The 20,189-nt window shown below is 46.7% G+C and overlaps 1 protein-coding gene and 1 pseudogene across 13 annotated transcripts in view; both read right to left on the reverse strand.

Annotated features, from left to right (window-relative positions):
* The window catches only part of PHKA2 (phosphorylase kinase regulatory subunit alpha 2), a 91,817-nt gene that overhangs the window by 22,424 nt on the left and 49,204 nt on the right, over window positions 1-20,189 (reverse strand). For all 13 annotated transcript variants that reach the window (XR_950461.4, XR_001755697.3, NM_001440804.1 and 10 more), the window contains 8 exons: window positions 16,920-17,027; window positions 14,507-14,585; window positions 11,732-11,866; window positions 10,947-11,056; window positions 9,660-9,804; window positions 9,335-9,413; window positions 5,311-5,480; window positions 3,960-4,133 (listed from right to left, as the gene is read on the reverse strand). Coding sequence is in view for 11 of the 13 variants with exons in the window: in NM_001440804.1 (NP_001427733.1) it covers window positions 3,960-4,133; window positions 5,311-5,480; window positions 9,335-9,413; window positions 9,660-9,804; window positions 10,947-11,056; window positions 11,732-11,866; window positions 14,507-14,585; window positions 16,920-17,027 (1,000 nt within the window). In the remaining 2 variants the exon portion in view is untranslated. The remainder of the gene's footprint in view (window positions 1-3,959; window positions 4,134-5,310; window positions 5,481-9,334; window positions 9,414-9,659; window positions 9,805-10,946; window positions 11,057-11,731; window positions 11,867-14,506; window positions 14,586-16,919; window positions 17,028-20,189) is intronic.
* RN7SL48P (RNA, 7SL, cytoplasmic 48, pseudogene) lies at window positions 522-814 on the reverse strand (annotated as a pseudogene).

Genomic DNA, 20,189 nt, shown 5'->3' on the forward strand with positions numbered 1-20,189 from the left:
CATTCCTTAAGGGAATTATAAGTAACTATATAGCTCCAGGCAACCAGGCCCTAATCCTTGAAATAGGAAATCCACTAGGAGATTGTAGAGTATCTCTGGGAAATCAAATAACTCCGAGTCAACAAGCCCCACCCATGGGCTTGGAGATTCTCATGCATGACCAGGTAAGCGAGGAGGAGCAGGGCATTTGAAGGAGGACGCTCATGTGGAAGACAGAAACCTAAGCAAACCGGAAAAGGTGACTTGGGGGAATGGAAACCATTCAAAGAGTAAAAAGGGTATATACAAACCAAAACAAAAAGCCCTGCCATTAATATTCTTAGAATAATAACAAATTGCCAGGTATGGTGGCTCATGCCTGTAATCCCAGCACTTTGGGAAGCCACGGCAGGCAGATCGTTTGAGGTCAGGAGTTTGAGACCAGCCTGGGCAACATGGTGAAACCCTGTCTCCACAGAAATAAAAATAAAAATTAGCTGGGTGTGGTGGCATGCACCTGTGGTCCCAGCTACTTGGGAGGTTGAGGTAGGGGGATCGCTTGGGCCTGGGAGGTGAAGGCTGCAGTGAGCCATGATCATGCCACTGCACTTCAGCCTGGGTGACAGAGCAGGACCTTTTCTTTCTCTCTTTCAGAAAAAGAAATTATACTGTATTTTTACTATTTTTTTGAGACAGGGTCTCGCTCTGTCACCCAGGCTGGAGTGCAGTGGCATGATCATGGCTCACTGCAGCCTCAACCTCCCGGACTCATGCGATCCTCCCACCTCAGCCTCCCAAGTACCTGGGATCACAGACATGCACCACCACGCCTGGCTAATCTTTTTTTTTTTTTTTTTTGTACAGACAGTGTCTTGCTACGTTGCCCAGGCTGGTCCAGAATTCTTGGGTTCAAGGAATCCGCCTGTCTTGGCCTCCCAATGTGCTGGGATTATAGGCATCAGCCACTGCGTCTGGCCAAGAAATTATATTGTAAACGTGAAACAAAAACAGACACAATTTGGGGAACAAAGATTTAAAACATGATAGCAAAAGTGGCTAAATTGAGGGGATGGAACAAAAAGTTGAGACAATGGCTTTCAGGACAAGACAGAAAAATGGAAAACAGAGGGAAAAAAATGATAAAGTCTTCTCTAGGAAGTCAACTTTGGAATCATAGGAACACCAGAAAGAAAGAACAGAGAAAATGTTGGGCAGGAAATGAGTCAAGAAACTTTTTAGGAAAACTTTACAGGACTGAAAAACAAATTTCCAGATTGGAAAGGCCCAGTGTGTATCCAACACAATGGATGAAAACACACCCAGATAGAGATTAAGGTGCAGCACTGAGATGTCAGAAGCCGGGAGCAGAGAAGATCCTAAACACTTTCAAAGAGAAAAACAGCTCATATTTGAAGTATCAAAAATCAGAATGAGCCGGGCACGGTGGCTCACGCCTGTAATCCCAGCACTTTGGGAGGCCCAAGAGGGCAGATTGCCTGAGGTCAGAAGTTCAAGACCAGCCTGGCCAACACGGTGAAACCCTGTCTCTACTAAAAATACAAAAATTAGCCGGATGTGATGGTGGGTGCCTGTAATCCCCGCTACTTGGGAGGCTGAGGCAGGAGAATCGCTTGAACCCAGGAGGCTCGCTTGAACCCAGGAGGCGGAGGTTGCAGTGAGCTGAGATCGAGCCACTGCACTCTGGCCTGGGCGACAGAGTGATACTCTTGTCTCAAACAATCAGAATGGGTTTAATTTCTGATATGGTTTGAATGTCTCACTCAAATCTCATGTTGAAATGTAATCCCCAGTGTTGGAGGTGGGGCCTGGTGGGAGGTGTTTGGATCATGGGGGTGGGTCCCTCATGAATGGCTTGGGCCATCCCCTTGGTGATAAGTGAGCTCTCACTCTGAGTTCACAAGGGATATGAGATCTGGTTGTTCAAAAGTGTGTGACCACTCTCTCTTGTTCCTACTGTCGCCATGTGAAGTGTCTGCTCCCCTTTTGTCTTCCGTCATGACTGGAAGCTTCCTGAGGCCTCCCTAGAAGCCAAGTAGATGCCAGCATCATGCTTCCTGTACAGCCGGCAGAACCCTGAGCCAATTAGACCTCTTTTCTTTATAAATTACCCAGTCTCAGGTATTTCTTTATGGCAATGCAAGAATGGGCTAATACATTTTTTTTTTTTTTTGAGACAGGTTCTCGTTCTGTTACTCAGGCTGGAGTGCAGTGGTGTGATCACAGCTCACTGCAACCTCAACCTCCCTGAGCTCAAGTGATCCTCCTGCCTCAGACTCCCAAGTAGCTGGGACTACAGGCATGTGCCACCATGCCTGGCTATTTTTTCTATTTTTTGTAGAGACAGGGCCTCACTATCTTGCCCAGGCTGGTCTCAAATTCCTGGACTCAAGCGATCTTCCTGCCTCAGTTTCCCAGATTGCTCAGATTATAGGCATGAGCCACTGTGCCTGCCCAGGTTTAGATTTCTCAACAGCAACACCAACACACTGATAGCAAGAAGACAATAAGTCATACTTTCAAAAATCTGCAAAAAAATGTCTTTTTTTTTTTTTTTTGAGACAGGGTCTTGCTCTGTCACCCAGGCTGGAGTGTAGTGGCACGATCTCAGCTCACTGCAACCTCTGCTTCCCGGGTTCAAGTGCTTCTTCTGCCTCAGCCTCCTGAGTAGCTGGGATTACAGGTGCAGGCCACCAAACCTGGCTCATTTCTGTATTTTTAGTACAGACAGCGTTTCACCATGTTGGCCAGGCTAGTCTCAAAGTCCTGGCCTCAAGTGATCCGCCTGCCTCAGCTTCCAAAAGTGCTGGGATTACAGGTATGAGCCACCACGCCCAGCCAAAAAAATGTATTTTTAATCTAGAATTCTATACCCAGCCAAACTCTCAAATGGGTCTGGAACATTTGTAGACATTTTTAAAATGGCAAGGTTTCAACAATTTTACCCACCGTGCGCTGTTTCTCAGGAAACTACTGCATGTCCTCTATTAAAATAAGAGTGAACCAAGAAAGAAGAGTTGGGATACAGAACACAGGAGAGCCATCCCAGGAGACAAGTCAAGGAAGCCTCCGGGGAAGATCCCAGGGTAAAAAGCACCTCAGACACTGAGGGCAACCAAGCCAGAAGGGGGCAGAGGGCAGTGCAGTTCAAAAACAAGTAAGTCGAGAGCTGTCACCACCATGCCCTCTTCCACTTCACTTTTTTTTTTTTGAAACCTACTGAAACTATTCTAGAATGTGCTCCACCAAAACAGAAGAATACATTGAGAAAGGGGAACACAGCAGATTCAGGAACCACGGAATCCAACTAAGGAGACAAGCCAGGGAAACTCCCAGGATGACACATATGCAACAGGCCTAGAGCGCAGTCAGCACAGATAGAAGGAGACTCGTGGACTCTAAGAAAGGCAGTGGAATTGAGAGATTCACCGATACGACTGAGCTTGTGGAAATTTGTATTGCGAGGCCACTGGAAGATGTAGAAAGAAAGCAAAGCAAATGAAAAGCCAGGGTAACTTTACCTTTCGAAAAAACAGAGTAAAAATGGGAATATAAACAGAGTATACTATAATGCTCAGTTGGAAATATTTGTGTACATACAATGATATAAAGAGTGAATACTGATTTAACTAAACTTTAACCCCTTGGTGGGTTAGGGGGAGTGAAGCAGAGGAGTGGTGATTTAAGACAGCCAGATCCTTACCCACTTAATCGAAAGTCAACAAGTACCGAATCAAGTCAATGCATGTGAAGACAGCAGTATGTACACATTATTTGAGAAATATGGAGATATGTACATACCAGAAGAAAGAGCTAAAAGAGTTGAAAGTGGTTACCTCTAAGTAGAAGCACGTGGGGGGCATTTTGTTGTCTTCTAGGATTCTTTGGCTTTTAAATTATGTCCCTGCATTACTTTGATAAAAGAAGGTATTTTAACAGGCAGAAAAGAGTTAATAACATACATGGAACTTCCAAACCCTTTGCTTTTGCCATCACAGAAAGTATGTCCCGCGTGGAGTGGATAGCACTGAAGACATGGCGGTCTTCTGTGTTCTTACAAAGAGGAGGCAGATAGGACCTCAACGATGTGCTTTGCAGAAGGTGGTTGATATAATGGTCAAGTTCGTCTTGGCTTTCTGTAATTGGACAAGCAAGAAAAAGAGCCAATGAAACCAAGCTGTAGAAATATGACTACACAATAGTGACCATGGGTAGCAAGCAGCACTGAGTAGGCTTAGCAGATGACAACACTGAGATATCGATATTTGCACTCCCACTCACCCCTGAAGAGTAAGAAGAGATTTACAGAGATAATGTATGTGTGTAGAAATTTGCTGTTTGGAAAAACTTTATCCCAGGAAAAAAAAACTACCAGTCAAGATAGTGTTTACATCTCGTCCTCCCAAGATGAACTGAATAATATGTAAGACAGCCTGAAGGATAGCAGCCGAAGTCTGGGCTTTTTGTTTTAATTTGTCATGAGTGAGCTAAGCCTTATGGAACTCCCAGCCCTAATTCCAACTACTATCTAAAAGTGAAAAACAGATCACCTCAAAACCTTATTCAGACTGACAAATGTTATATACGTAGGGTTTCATCACTCATATCCAACCAAACCTAGATCATTCTACCACTCCTTTGAAAATTCAAGCAGTATGTTTCTGTCTTCAGAATGTATGTATTCTGTGCAAAGTCCCCATTCCTGGCCAGCCACGGTGGCTCATGCCTGTAATCCCAGCACTTTGGGAGGACGAGGCAGGCTGATCAGTTGAGCCCAGGAGTTTAAGACCAGCCAGGGCAACATAAGGAGACCCCATCTCTATAAAATATAAAAGAATTAGCTGGGTATGGTGGTGCTTCCCTGTAGGCCTATAGTCTTAGCCACTTGGGAGGCTGAGGTGGGAGGATTGCTTGAGCCCAGGAGGTCGAGGCTGCAGTGAGCCATGATCATGCCACTGCACTCCAGCCTGGGCAACAGAGCAAGACCCTGTCTCAAAAACAAACAACAACAAAAAAAAAAAAAAAAAAAGAGAGAGAGAGAAGAAAAAAAAGAAAAAAAGTCCCCATTCCTGAAACTCTTTGTCCTTCTAGGTTTAAAAATGCCCCACTTTCAAGGACATCATTTGCAGTTTCGGTTTTTAAACGGGCATTTTATTCATTTTAATATATGCAAGTTTCAGAAGCCTCTTTTTTGTTTTTCCTTGTTTTTAATTATCAATCATTGTCTATATTTGAGTCTTAGGGCAATTTTATCACAATGCTAAAGTTTAAATAAATTCAGCGAACTACCCACAAAAGCATTCCAAGCTGTACCTTGATTACAGGTGTCTTCCAGATATCCTACCAAATCTGAATCACTATCAGGACTGAAAGTCCCTTCGCTGGCATTGTCAAACAACTTCTCATCACAGTCTGGATCCAGAAAAGTCAGATATGTGTAGAACGATGTGGTGAGAAATTCCGAAAGGTTCCCTAATTTTACTCTGCCAAGAAGACACCGTGTTAGGGACACAGGTAGTGTGTGGATAACCTTCCACTATGAATCACTGAGAGACTTTTGCACAACCATGTGGTGCTTCTGCCAGAATCAATACATATATCACTCTGCAGATTGCCCCATATAAGCGGTCAGCCAAGACATTCAAACAAAAATTCAATAGCAAGTATGAAGTGAACGCGCACAGCATATTAAAAGCCAAATGAATCACACTGACTTCTTACTCCCAACCCAACACAAATACGACTCTATTTTACTGAACCAACCAACAGTTTGACAAAATATATTGCGCAAACTACTTTTAAACAGAACCAACCCATGTTTTTGTTTTGTTTTTTCCCCCAAAACGACTGGCCCAGAAGCAGTGATTCTCTGGGCACACTCGTTCCATTATTTATGAGTCCCTACCACGAAACACTGTCACACAGGGACAGGGGTGCTATGATGGAAGAGGTCAGGTTCCCTCTAGAAGGAATTCAATGGGGAAGCCATCCCCAGACTGGAGCAGAAGCCCTGAGTGGCCCTATCACCTTAGGCTGGGCACAGTTCCACTGAAACCTGGACGCTGGGTTTGGCAGCCTGGGGCCTGAGGTTCTGCAGGTCCAACCCCACACGCTGGGAGCGATTTGCACATACAGAAGAAAACATTCTTAAAAGGTTACACCGGGGGAGCAGAAAGCAATGGATCCCTCCCTCAGAGTTATCAGCACCAGATTGGGATTTAGTTGAAAAGGCTGAGAAACGTTTAAAGAGTCAATTGAGGCATATGTAATGCAATAGTATCAGAGGTGCCAGAGCTTCAGCCTCAAAAGGGCTATAACCAGAATGACAGCCCGAGGGAAAGAAAAGCCTTTCTTTAATTGAGCACCCCCCCCAAGTGGATCCAGTGGGTATGTAGGGTGAGTTCAGCTTTTAAAAAACCCTCAGAAATAGGCTGGGCACCATGGTTTATGCTTGCAATCCCAGCACTTTGGGAGGCCAAGGCAGGTGGATCACCTGAGCTCAGGAGTTTGAGACCACCCTGGCCAACATGGTGAAACCCCTCTCTACTAAAAATACAAAAATTAGCAGGGTGTGGTGGCAGGCATCTGTAATCCCAGGTACTTGAGAGGCTGAGACAGAACTGCTTGAACCTGGGAGGTGGAGGTTGCAGTGAGCCGAGATCGCGCCACTGTACTCCAGCCTGGGCGACAGAGACTCCGTCTCAAAAGAAAAACAACAACAACCCTCAGAAATAGAGGAAAAGCCAAAACTGTGACTCAACTTATCAAGAACTTAATTATCTTTGCAATATAATTTTTATAACACTGTGTTACATAGTTATAACTCCTATATGTAATCTATAAATCATATACTAAATTATAACTATATTAATTTTATTTATAAAGCTCTTAATGATCATGAACTGAGCAGAAGTAGCCTAGGCATTCCAGTCTCTTCTAAGGCTCTCTGAATCATCTGCCATGGTCTATAACCAAGGGGCCCTCCTGACACCAATAAGCCCTCATCCAGCTCAGCACCAGGGCTTAGAGGCCGGGTTCTGGGTTCACACAGAGCTGCTGCACCTATTCCTCTTCTGCCAATGGCTCTCTGAGTCTACAGCTCCTTGTCTATGAAATGGGAATTCACCCCAAGTCAGAAAGTGAAGCCTCAATGAGACAACACATTGAATACACGGCCAGTGCTCAGTGAACTGCAGACAATTTCCTTTTTACAATGATTAGATCTCAATAAAAGGATTTATTTTGCGGCTGGGCACAGTAGCTCACACCTGTAATCCCAGCACTTTGGGAGGCTGAGGCAGGTGGATCACCTGAGGTCAGGAGTTTGAGACCAGCCTGGCCAACATGGTGAAACCCCGTCTCTACTAAAAATACAAAATTAGCCAGGTGTGGTGGCACATGCCTGTGATCCCAGCTACCTGGGAGGCCGAGGCAGGAGAATTGCTTGAACCTGGGGGGTGGAGGTTGCAGTGAGCCGAGATTGTGCCACTGCACTCCAGCCTGGGCAACAAGAGTGAAACTCCGTTTCAAAAAAAAAAAAAATTATTTTGCAAAATGGTTAATTATAGGCCTTTGGTATTCTCTCTCAGTTATGATGCCATGCACCAGGTGGTAACTGAAGCAAATTGGAGGTAAAATGTGCAAAAGTGGATGCAGATTGCTGGTATGGCACTAGTCCTGAAAGTGTATACAGCAAAACACTGGGGACAGTCTCGCGAGAAAGGCCAGGAGAAGCTTGGATCAAGGGCCACTTCAAGTCTACAGCAAAACCTGCAAGAAGCTCTGTGGGCAGAGGGACCAACCTCAGCGGGCTCTTCAAATCGCTCAAGGCCAGGGTTAGAAATAACAGGGACTTAACTTTGGGGACATCATGTGAAATGAGCCAGTCACAAAATGATAAATGTTGTATGATGCCACTTATATGAGCTATCTGGAGCAGTCAAACTCATGGAGGCAGAAAGGCTGGTGGTTGCTAGGGGCGGGAGGAGGGGGAAGTAGAGTTGCTATTAATGGGTGTACAGTTTTACTTGTTGCAAAATGAAAAGAGTTCTGGAGATTGGTTGCACAACAATGTGAATGTACTTAACACTACTGAACTATACACTTACAAATGGTTAAGGTAATGTTATAGGTAAATTACCATAATTTTAAAAAAACGACAGTGACTTTGCTGTGGTAGGAGTGTCCCTGGGGTGAGAGGATGTGAGAAGAAAGGGTGGGCTTCAACTCCAAAAGTTTTAGCAACTGGAATTCCATCAGGGACCAAACAGAAGCCTCCCTGAGCCCTGGAAAGGCTACACCAGGGCTGAGCTACACAGTGAGATTCTCCTTTTTTTTTTTTTTTTTTTTGAGACGGAGTCTCATTCTGTTACCCAGGCTGGAGTGCAGTGGTATGATCTTGGCTCACTGCAGCCTCTACCTCCTAAGTTCAAGCGATTCTCCTGCCTCAGCCTCCCAAATGGCTGGGACTACAGGCGTGCACCACCATGCCTGGCTAATTTTTGTATTTTCAATAGAGACAGGGTTTTGCCAGGCTGGTCTCAAACTTCTGACCTCAGGTGATCTGCCTGCCTCAGCCTCCCAAAGTGCTGGGATTATAGTGTGAGCCACCGTGCCTGGTCCACAGCATTCTCTTGGGGCCCTTCTGGTATATCCTAGGGGATGGAAGAAGATGAGAGAATAGACACTACAGAGAAGACCTCTGCCTTGTGACAGTAGAGGGCACAAAAATGGAAGGGGTATTCCTGGAGGGCAAGCCCTCTATCACTCAAGGTGCTTAAGCATAATACCTGGGTACGTCTTCCCTACTTGGGGCCTGTAAACCAGAAGGGGGCTCATTCCACAGAAGGTGAGGGGCCAGTGACCTACACAGACTCATTCAGGTGCTCTGCTGTGAGGGCTCTAAGGAATTTGCCAAGTCCTGCAAATGAATCTTAAGGTGATAGCATATTCAAGTTGGTGCAAGGAGCATTTATTGGGCACCTGCAGGATCCCAGGCAGAGTATTTTCTTCCACACCTTTTAACAGAAATATACACAGAATTCCATACATGCGTTCCAAGAAGAACAGATGTTTCAGAGGGACTTGATGGTTCACCTCCCTATGTCCGAGGCCTCCTGGTGCCTGTAAAGCTTAAAAGATATCAGCCGAGTGCTGTTTCAGAGATGAGCCAAGTTTCACACGGGCGACTGGATTAGAGAAGTGTTACCTTCCTGCTTACTCTAAAACTGCATGCTTTTAGGTTCAACAATTAATATGAAAAATGGGACAAGGGCAGCAAAGGACTTTAAGAAAGGTCAGTGCTACTCTTATATTTTTTAAAAAAATCACAAATTACCTGGCTCCTCCAAAATATCCATCCTCTAGTTTTCTAATTGTGGAGAGCACAGCAGAATGAATGTCTGAGCCATCATTTGCTAAGGAAAAAAAGTGATGAATTAGTTTAGTCTGGGCAGACTTTTTTTCCGTTATGCACTGAAACATTTTCATCAACACCATCTAATTAAAATATTTCTGGCATAGAAGATTCCCGAGATAAGAAACCAAACTGCTAAGAAGCCCCTTCAGTGCTTAGTTCTGGCCATGGGAGCCATTTTAAACATTTGTAAGAGCCCAAACCACCCCTGGGGCAGGAGGGAGCCTGCTGAAATCCCTGGAGTTACTGAGCATGGTGCGACTGATGGGGAAGGTGAGTGTGGGTCTGCCCGTCATCCTCCAGCAGGTGCACAGGTAGGCCAGCTCGATCCTTAGCATCTCCACGATCATCTCATTGTCGAGGGCCAGGTAGAAGTGATGCTGGTCGGTGAACTGAAAGTCAGAGGAGGCTGGGTAAACGGCCACCCTTTCTTTACCTGGAAACACCAGCTGACAACTCAGGTCAGCACTAATCCTGGGGTTTTATTGCCAGGCAAGAGGCTCAGTACTCGTTTCAATCCACCCAGTCATGGGGCTGCCCTGCTCAAGATCAGACAAATCAGTCTGCTGCCTGCCCGGGAGCTGTCGCTGTAGGGTGGAAGGGAAAGGTGCACTGCTAGATTTATTTCCAGCTCCTCAGATGGGGATTTAAGCATCTTGCCCAACACTGCTGTCTCTGAAAGCAAATCAATAACTCCTTAATTCCTGATCCTTCCAGGGCTATGGGTTCGAAGATGCTTTCCAAGTGGGGGCACTGTGAGCAGGTGGGAGGTGGACACTCTGTTTACCTGATTGATGGCTTTGGTTAATGTCAACTAAAGACACTGCTGCCTGATGTTGAGAACAAATCAAACTGTTCTCTTGGCCTCTGGACTAGTGCATGCTCAGCTCTGGACTGAAATTTGCTACTAAGGGAAATAGCTCACAAGCTTTCTGTGAGCAGCAGGGGCTAGGATGAAACAGCAGCTTGACCCAAGACCCCATGACCAACCCTGTGCCCAGGTAAGCAGGGATTGTGCCCTGCACTGCCAAAGCGATCCCACTGTTGGTCTTTCTAGCTGCCCAAATGGGTGAAAAATATTTTCTATGTACTTCCACAGGACTAGTTTTCTTTGGAAACCAAAGCTCTCCAGTAAGTTCCATGAGTACATTCAGTATCCCAGTAAGCGAGGGTGTGGCCAGAAAATCAGCCTGGCTGTGTGTTACACAGAGGGTCTGATGACAGCTTGCACAAGGGTCAGAGATGATTGTGATTAGGGGCACAAGGGCTGTGAGTCAAGTGACATGTCAACAGCAAACTTCTAAAGCAGTCTGAATTTCACTAATATTCATGACTGGAAGTGATGGCACGCCTGTCTCAAAAAGCATTTACCGAGCACCTACTACGGGCAGACTTGTACTAGGCTCTTGGTATCATTTCATATGTCTCTATTTGAACCTATGCATGCAGAATTCTGTCATATTCACAGGAGAAAAGCTTACCAGACAGCAAAGAGAACTTAAAAAAAAGATGCTCGTTGGCCTGCTCTCCTCACCTGGGGTGTAAAAGTAAAGATTTGGTTCCTAATCACATATAGTTTAGAGGTTCCAAGGACACCAATATGTCGATACGGTCGCCCACTCAAATTCATATTCTTATTCCGTCCTGTTTGAGAAGTAAAAGATAAATTGGAGTTAGAGGAAATACGGTTAACAAGTAATCCAGGCAACTCAGGCTAAGACTGAGCTTATTTCTAGATTAGACAACCCATTTTGGGGCTTGGTTCTTCTACTGCCATCATCCTTTAAAATGGCACGAAGCTGAATATTAAAACAAATCCCGCCCCCTTCTTTTCATGAATGTATATGAACAGTACCCAGTTGGAACTGCATGGAATAAAACTACTAAAAGGACTATAGAACATTTACTTTCGATTTACTTAGTATTGAACCATAATAGTAAACAAAGTCAGATTGTAGAAAAAGCATAGAGAACCTCCTCCCATTTTAATGTGTAAATGAGCATTTTCTGATACTAAAGGTAAACATGAGAAGCATTATCAAGACACAAATGACTTTTCCAATTGTAAATTTTTCAAGGTGGCTCCTTATTTTACAACAGATCCGGCGAATGCTTGGCCACCTGTGACGGTGCCCACTGAACGGGTGTGAGAACGTGCTGGTTTGCCCGTTCCTCTTCACATCGAAGCGGTGGAACCGCCTGCTTTAGTTTTTGTCCAAGTCTTTAGAACTTACGTATATCACAGTCTCCCTCAGACCCCAAATCTAGAACCGAGATGCCCCCATGCCAAAAAGGCCCAGGTAATTTCCCCAAACCTACCAAGCTTGGCATATATGTGACTAAGAATCCGGCCCGGCTGGACTTGAATTGGATGAATGTCCGCGATACTCTGGACGTTCACCCCGTGTTTCCTCAATAAGTCCTTAATGTGATTGTTTTCTGCCAAAACAGTAACTGTGAACAAGAACACAGAATGAGCGTTAGCTCATGACTCTTGTCTCTTCACATGGACACGTGTTCCTTACTGCCCTCTTCTGCCTGGTGACATACACATCAGCATGCTCTTCCATGCAATGACTGGCTTTGGAAATGACAGTGTTCGTCCTGCTGCTCCTCCCCATTCTGTCCTTGCCACCCCTCAACAACCTCAACGCCTATTTATCAAGTGCCTTCATTGTGCAAGATAGTCTGATAGGAGACTTCTAGAAATTGTCCTCAATAAGTCCCAAGCCAAACTGCCCCGTCTCAAGTAATGTCTTGCCTCCCTCTGGGTCTGCATCTATTCTAAACCTGCCTGGTGTCCCTTTTTATGCAGGGTCAGGAGTGGAAACAGCTCCACTTGGGGGATGCCAGAAGCCTGTGCCCCTGCTCCCAAAGGACGGGGGAAAGAAGAGTAAGATGGGGGCGCCTGCTGGCAGGGGATGTTCTGAGGGGACATCCTTCCCTCTAGAGAAAGCAAAGTAGGTCTGTGAGTGGGGATGCTGGCGGTAGTGGAGCAGCCTGGCCCATTCAGAACCCCCGCACAGGGCCCCACCGGTGGGGAAAAAGCACCCCAGGGCTGGCCTGGGCCCCATCTCTGGTGGGAGAGGCTGGGCACCTGGCTCTCCAGCAGGCGGGGAGCTGATTGTGCCTGGGACCTGGGGGCCCATGGAGGAGGGAGGCCATCACCGGGGACAACCCGGGATCGGCTAGGCTGCACCTGCTGTACTAGTACCGCTGGCCTTTCTGAGAAGGGACAGTGCTTTGGCAAAGGGAAGGAGTACAGGGATGGGACTGGAAAAGGGGAGCACGGCCACAGGGAGAGAGGTTGGTGCCATGTCCAGCTGCGGCCGAGCCCCCTGGAAGCTGCAGAGGCTCAGGGCAGCGCAGGATTGGCTACTGTTAAGTACAATCATTGTACTCACAGGCTAGTGGGGCCGGAATGTACAATACATATACATGCAGTTGAGAGTTGAGTGTCACCTCTTTATATTTACACAGCACTTGATGCCTTTTCAAGTATTTTAATATCCATTATCTCATCTGACCTTCACAACAAGCCCCCAGGGAAGCCTTGCATGCTCAACTGGCCAGTTACAGCTGCACGTGGACTGAAACCTAATCTCCCAGGCCCTCAGCAAATGGGAACATCAGCCATGCAGGGCTGGCTAGGTGGCTTTCCTTAACACCTGTCTCTTCTAAAGCTTCCAATGACAGGCATGACTCCACATTTATCAAAACCCCAGCAGCCACTCTCTGTAGGAGTAACTCCTTTAGTGCAGTGGTTTTGGGGGAGACCTGGGAGCCTCATGATCTGTGCAGCTGGATGTGGCTAAGTTTCTGAAACTGCACTTCCCCTACTCTGTGCCTGACCTTCTGGGAATTTCTACACTGTTCTATTAAACAAATGCTGGTCAACACCCATCAAAGTGTCCCAGCCTGCAGGTGGAAAAACGGTCTTAATAGATTCAAGGGACTAATTAGCAGGACATGCTCTGGCTTAGCGCAGGCACAATGAGTCCAGCTGGATCAGTCCACCTGGAAGTCAGGAATGGATTCACACCTACAGCTGCCAGCTGTGGGTCCTTGAGGGAGTGGGTTAACTTCTAAGCCTCGTGTGTAAGGTGGAGATGATGATCATCATCTCAAACTTTACCTAATCAGAATGCTGTGACAGGTGTATCTCATGGCTCTATTGACTGGGTGATATCAGCTCATCTCACCACAGCATGAGCCCCCGAAGCAAAATGAGCCAGTGGCTACAGAGAAATGCTTGTCATTTGTTCAATCACTGTTTTCAACGTATGGGTGCGTATGTGCCAATCAACATAGAAACTGCAAGAATGATATAGGCCTTGTCATTAAGAAGTGTACAGTCTCAGGGGCAATATGGTGTACACACAACATGCTATGACACTAGCTGGTGTGCTCTATGGGGCACAGAGAATGTTACTGGACTGCCAGGAGGTCCTCCCTAAGAAGGAAGGTAGGAAGAGAACTGCTCCACCCGGGTGCACACCACAGGCCAGGCACTACACCAAGCGCTTTCCCACTGCAGCCTCAGTACATCTTAGGAAGCCCCAGTCAGGGAGCTCAAGTCCTGATGACCCTGAGGCACAGAAGGGTGAAATCACTTGGCTAGGCGGAGGGCAGCAGCAGCCTGGGCTGGTCTCGCCCCTCTCCAGAAGAAGGGCTGGCTGGAGAGGAGGGAGAGGAAAGGTGGACACAGGTGAAAGGCGGAAAGATGTCAGGACTCCAAGGGAGGAATGAATGACCCTCAGTTGGGTTCTGAGTTTTCACCAGGCTTAGGCTCTATTTTTCAAAGAATAACAATGATGATAAATGACGCGCAACGAATCACTTGTGCCCCAGTTGCAATCAAGGTTTATATTCAAGACAACAATTGCTTTGTAGAAAGTCATTTTGTGGTTGGGAAGAATTCTGTTGCCTTTGGAAGCCACTGAGTTATATAAGGCATCTCACACAACTGCTACATGCTAAAGCATAGGCACATACACACTTTAAAAAAATTAAATAAGAAACTAGGCAACAATTTGAATTAAAATAACATTGGTTTTACAAAGTTAAATATGAACAGTAAACACGCTCACAAACCTTGTACTACAACATCAGGTTTGACTGAAGTGGAAAATCTTCTATTTAAGGGATCGATTTCACCAGCGGCAAGGAATCCCTATGAAAAGAGGAGCATTAACACTATGAAATATTGATTAACTAAAATTTCATCTTAAACTGAAGTGTGAAAATGAAATATTTTGGGGCTCAACATATTCAAGACTTTTTTCTTTATATTTTTCGAGTCAATTGCTTATTTTCTGTGAAACAGAGTAACATCATTCAAACTGCCACTGATAAACGTATTACATTTTTGCACCTAGCTCTCTAGGGCTCGTCGAATATGCCACCATCTTGTATGAGCAAAAAGAATGATAACCAATACTTTCTGAGCTCACAGTAACATGCCAGGCATTGTGTTGAGCCACTGTATGCGCACTGTCATATTTATGCCTCCTGACAGGTAGGCACTACTTTTGGGGCTCAGAAAACAACACCCCCAAAACAAAGACCTCAGCAGCAGCCTCAGAAGCATAAGTTTTCCTCTGACCTTCTCCTGCCTCTCTCTCTCAGTCCATTCTTCTGGAGGCGCCACAGAAACTAGAATTCTTCTTCCCCAAGGTGGGCATAGAAACCAGAATCCCTTTTCCCCAAAGCCAGCCACAAAACCTACAAATATTCTCTGTAAAAACTGGCCATAAAAAATTCCCTCACCTACCTTGTTTGGCTGTAGGTCATAAGGGCCCCACTCTAGGGAGGGACCTGCCCCACACTCAGAAGGAAAGAGCGCTGCACAGAAAGGCCTCGCTGGGTTTCCCCACTTGGTCCATTAGCATTCATCAGGCCCCTTTTGTCTAATCACATTTCTACACAGCTGTCCATATTTTGTTGAAACTATGCATAAAAACAGAAAATTTCCCCTAGATCTTGGGGTATTCATTCTGAAGGCTCCCCTGTATACATGTTAAGTATATCTGCATGCCCTTTTTTCTTATTAATCAATCTGCCTCATGTCAGTGATTTTTCATCAGACCTTTAGGAGAACACCTTGGCCCCCACGCTACCACCATCACCACTGTACAGGTGGGGAAACCAAGATAATGACCCAAGGGAAGTGGCTGAGTGGGGACTTGGCCCCCACAACCCCACTCCCTTGCAAAGTATTCTCTTTGAATATGCACCTCCTTGCACTTTCTACAAATGACACGAACCCCGAGAGAGAGGATCAAGGTGTTCTGGGAGTTCTGAGGAGCAACTGGACCTAGCGCTGGGCCCAGAGAAAGCCTTTACATCAGAGAGGAGAAAGCAGGGGAGGGGAGTTACTCGTTTCCCATCTCACTGATACAGAAATCAGAGCTGGAAGGTCAGAGATGATCAAGTCCATCCTTTTCATTTTACAGATGAGGAAACCGAAGCCCAGAGATTAGAGACCTGCCCGGGATCAGAGAACTAGTGAGAGACAGGGCTGGCTTTCAAAGGAGATATATGCGTTTTCCCTACTAATAAAGACAGGAGTGGAAGACACAGCCCCTACTCCAAGGACATGACCATGACACTGGGGAGTCTTGAGGTACCTGTAAAACAACTGTTTCAGCTCGGCAGGTAGTGTTCCTGAGGGCTGCTTCCACGGTGGTATCTTTCATCCTGGGCTTCAACACTCTAGGAACCCGGTGGCATGCTGACCCACCACCCCTTCTGCCTTTTCTAGAGCCTGGCAGCCCCTCAGCCCTTCCCTGGGCTCCTTCCCCTCCCTGCCTCCCCGGGGTCCAGCCGAAGCACTCAGCTGGGCAGGACCCTCTCAGGAACGACAGCCCATCTGATAAGGTCACTCATACTGAGGAGTGGGGGATTCATTTGAGGCGGCTCCAAAGTATTTGCATATTAAAACAAAAGCCTGGGGACAAGTCAATGGTGAACAAAAAGAAAGGTGTCAAGAGGCAGTTGTCTGCAGAAGGAAGGGTGCTGCAGGTTGTCCGGGGCAACACCTGACACAAAATTCACCAGAGAAAATCCGGCCCGCCACCTCTTTCTGTAGAGATCTGTGGCCCTTGTGCTTCCTGCTCCTAAGACTGGGGCAGGGGCACCTAGGGGCCAATCTAGTCATTTCCCAAATCTTGTATCTTCTAGGATCAGATGTGCTAACAATCCTGGCCCAGAAACTTCCAGCTCCTCTGACCATCAACTGGAACAGATTCTAGCCACAGAGGAAGAATGCTGGCAGGGGGTGATGGGGAGTGCTGGGCCCTCATGGACCTGAGCTGGTTTAATGGAAATATGGACACACAAGGCTGAGAGTCAAGCCCCGGAGCCAACACGGTCCAGTTGACCTTAAACGAATGAAGATGCAAAAGACATCCACACGCACGCCTGGCAGAGAGTCCCTATGCCCTTCTGGGGTTCCCTGAACCTCCAATCACATGGTTTCCAGTCTGTGAGGCCACTAAGCCCCTACCTCTGCCAACAGCGAGCTGAGGATGTACAAGGATTGGCCCCACAGATGAGGCACCTTCCCCATAGGAACTCGGTCTACTGTGTGAGGATTCTTGTACTCTTCATCTACCTGGAAAGAGAGACAAATCCAAAGTCAGAAAGTCAGAGGATAAAATGGCCATGATACCTGACCATGGGGAATGCACTGAGGATTTATGAAATGGTACTCATCCTCCAGGCCAATTCTGTGCAGGTGCCAGGAGGCTGGGGAGCAAGCCCCTTCCTCGGGGCTGCAAGGCTACAAAGCAGCGGAGGTGGAAGTCAAATCGCGGCCTGGTTCTGGACAAGCACTCTTCCTACAGGCACACGCAAGGCCACGAGCACCGGATGCCTGGCCTGCCTGCTTTGCGCACAGCTCTGGCCATGAGAACTCTCATGGCTCATGCTTACAATTGGCTGCATGATGGGTGAAATGATGGAAAACATCAGCCTCCAGCTGTGGCGGTGCATCGCTGGAGCCATCCCTAGGGGTTTATAAACTGTGCGCCTAATGCAAGAGAATTGCCAGAAGGTGGCACTATTTACCGAGGAAAAACACTTGGACTACTAGCCTGTAACCCCTCCTTCAGGGCCTCAAAAAGCTGAACCCACTGGGGGGCTTCTGTCTCAGCAAAATAAACTTTGGTGTTCTTTCTGGAGGACAGGGCTGGCTGCGCATTGTAAGCTAGTCTGCAACTTTCTCTCTTTTAAACTCCATGCTGGACTTTGACATTTCAGTCATCACATCATTGGTTGGGGGTAATGTCAGTGACCGCTTTTGTCTTCCAGAAAACGTAAGTCAACCAAAGGAAATAGGAAACATCCTTCTCCCAAGGGGAACATCACACCATGAGGAGACTCATCTTCTGCTTGCAGATTAATCAATGATGTTATTAACATATTTAGTAAAATTTAAAATTTTTTCAATAAGAAAAACTTTAGTGCATGAACTGAACAGAATTAAATGTCATTAGTAATCAAATAATCCAATAGGACAATAGTGTGGAAGGAGATTCTCCAAAATGTCATAATCTTTGGGTGGTAGAATTAGAGATAACGTTTTCTTCTTTCTACAGAATCCTAGATGTTTTGTCGTGCACAGAATTACTTGTATGATAATCAGGTAGTATGTTAAAACTATTTGAAATGTAAGTCGTGTTAAGAAAGACTGAAAGGTCAGGCATGGTGGCTCACACCTGTAATCCCAGCACTTTGGGAGGCTGAGGTGGGCAGATCACCTGAGGCCAGGAGTTCGAGACCAGTCTGGCCAACACAGCGAAACCCTGTCTCTACTAAAAATACAAAAATTAGTCAGGCATGGTGGCAAATGCCTGTAATCCCAGCTACTCAGGAGGCTGAGGCAGGAGAATCACGTGAACCTGAGAGGCAGAGGTTGCAGTGAGACAAGATTGTGCCAATGCACTCCAGCCTGGGTGACAGAGTGAGACTCTGTCTCAAAAAAAAAAAAAAGACTGCAGAGATGTAGAATGAGAAATATTCAATAGAGAGCAGACAAGGTGTCCAGTTTACAAGACAGCCTGGCTTTGCACTCCTCCCACCCATGAGCCACCTCCTGCCCCGCATGGAGGCATCCCCCTCTGCCTCTCTGCACACCGGTCCTTCTGAACTGCCCACAGGTCCTCAAAGGTGCTATGCTTTTGCTGCTGCCACTGCCCTCCATCTCATGGACCAGCTCGTCTGGCCCCTGCTAACCTGCAAGCTCACAGGGACAGAGCTGGCGCTGTAGCCACCCTTGTGCCCCAGTAGCTAGCCTGGTGCCTGGCACGGAGTGGCTGCTCAATCCATGTTTGCGGGGACACTTTCATTGGTCTCCAGCTGTCCACAGAGGGCCTTATGGTGCCCTGCACAAGCACATCTGGCTGAGGAAATGAGTGGGGCTCACATCCAAGCTGCATGCCACCCTGGCCCAGGGCTGCGGCTACCCTGATGAGGCCTTTTATCTAATTTGCACACAGGTGCCACATGGGCCTGTGGTGGCCCTGTGTGCAGAAATCCTTCCTGGTGGTCTCTACATGTTATTGATGTGACTGATAAACCTTCCCAGCTGTCATCTGGAAGGAGCCAACACAAAATGCAATCAGTGTCAAAGAGTGTGCAAAATCAGTGCCTAGCACACCAGTGTAAACATGCTGAGGACATTGTAATGACAAGCAGAAACCCAAAGGTCAGTGTGGAGTTTAGAAGACAGAAAGTCACAGAGTAATTTTTTACAATGTGTAGTCAGCACTGTTCATCAGAAAGAAAGAAAAGCGTAGCTCTTAACACCTGGCATTTACTATAGTCAGTAAAACGTGCCCTCTAGTAGAACTGGACGGCTCTTCTCTACCATAGAATAAGTAAAATACCCCTGAAGGCACTTATTTTCCCTTGCTCTGCTTCCAGGTTCCAAATTACCTCTCATTACCAATTCGGTTTTCCCGAATGCCTCAGTACTGGGAAAGGAGCGACCTGAAGCGGGATATGAACATGTAGCTGCTGGAAGGTAACCCAGCCCCCACTGCCAGCCCTGCCCCAACCCACATACCGCAGCACGCGTACTAAAAGGAATACATTTATTTGCAGGGGATCTAGGCTGAGGACACTTAGAAGGAACACAGCCCTAGCAGGCTCCGTAGACTGATCTGCAGAGTGAGGGAAGACTAGTTCCTCTCCAAAGTCTGGCCCTTAACCCTGGAACAAAATCAGTCCTGAGAGAGCTTGGATGATGTGGGCTGTCGGTTCATGTTGGGATGAGGGGCCATCAACATTCCGGAGCTCAGGGCTAAGGGTCCAGGCTGGTGGGGCTTGGTGAGCCCACCTGGAGCAAGCAGCCACCTCAAGGGGCCCAGTGAACAAGATGGGCTGATATAAATGCAAAAAACTGAATGCTTCCGGCAATGGCACATTCTACTTCTCACGGAAACTCCTTCCTTTGATTTTCTACTTGGTTTAACTGGTTCAGTGATCTAACACGTAATAGTTCCTTTTAGATGAAAATAAGGCTCAAAGTGATACACGGTGGTACCTTTTTTGCCATAAGGATCAAGTATCAGATTGCTTTAAAATTTATATTCTATGGAAAAGTAAAGAAGTCCACTATACTATTGCTTTCAGAAGCCTAGTGAGAGCATCCACTGTGTAGATACTTCCATCACACAGAAATGTACCACCCATTAGGAGGCAGTGTGGGGTGGCAGCAAGGCCCTGAACCTGGGGTCTGGCCCCAGGGCGGAGCCCAGTGCTGTGTGAGCTC

The sequence above is a fragment of the Homo sapiens genome, chromosome X (genome assembly GCF_000001405.40).
Source record: "Homo sapiens chromosome X, GRCh38.p14 Primary Assembly".
Classification (NCBI taxonomy): domain Eukaryota; kingdom Metazoa; phylum Chordata; class Mammalia; order Primates; family Hominidae; genus Homo; species Homo sapiens.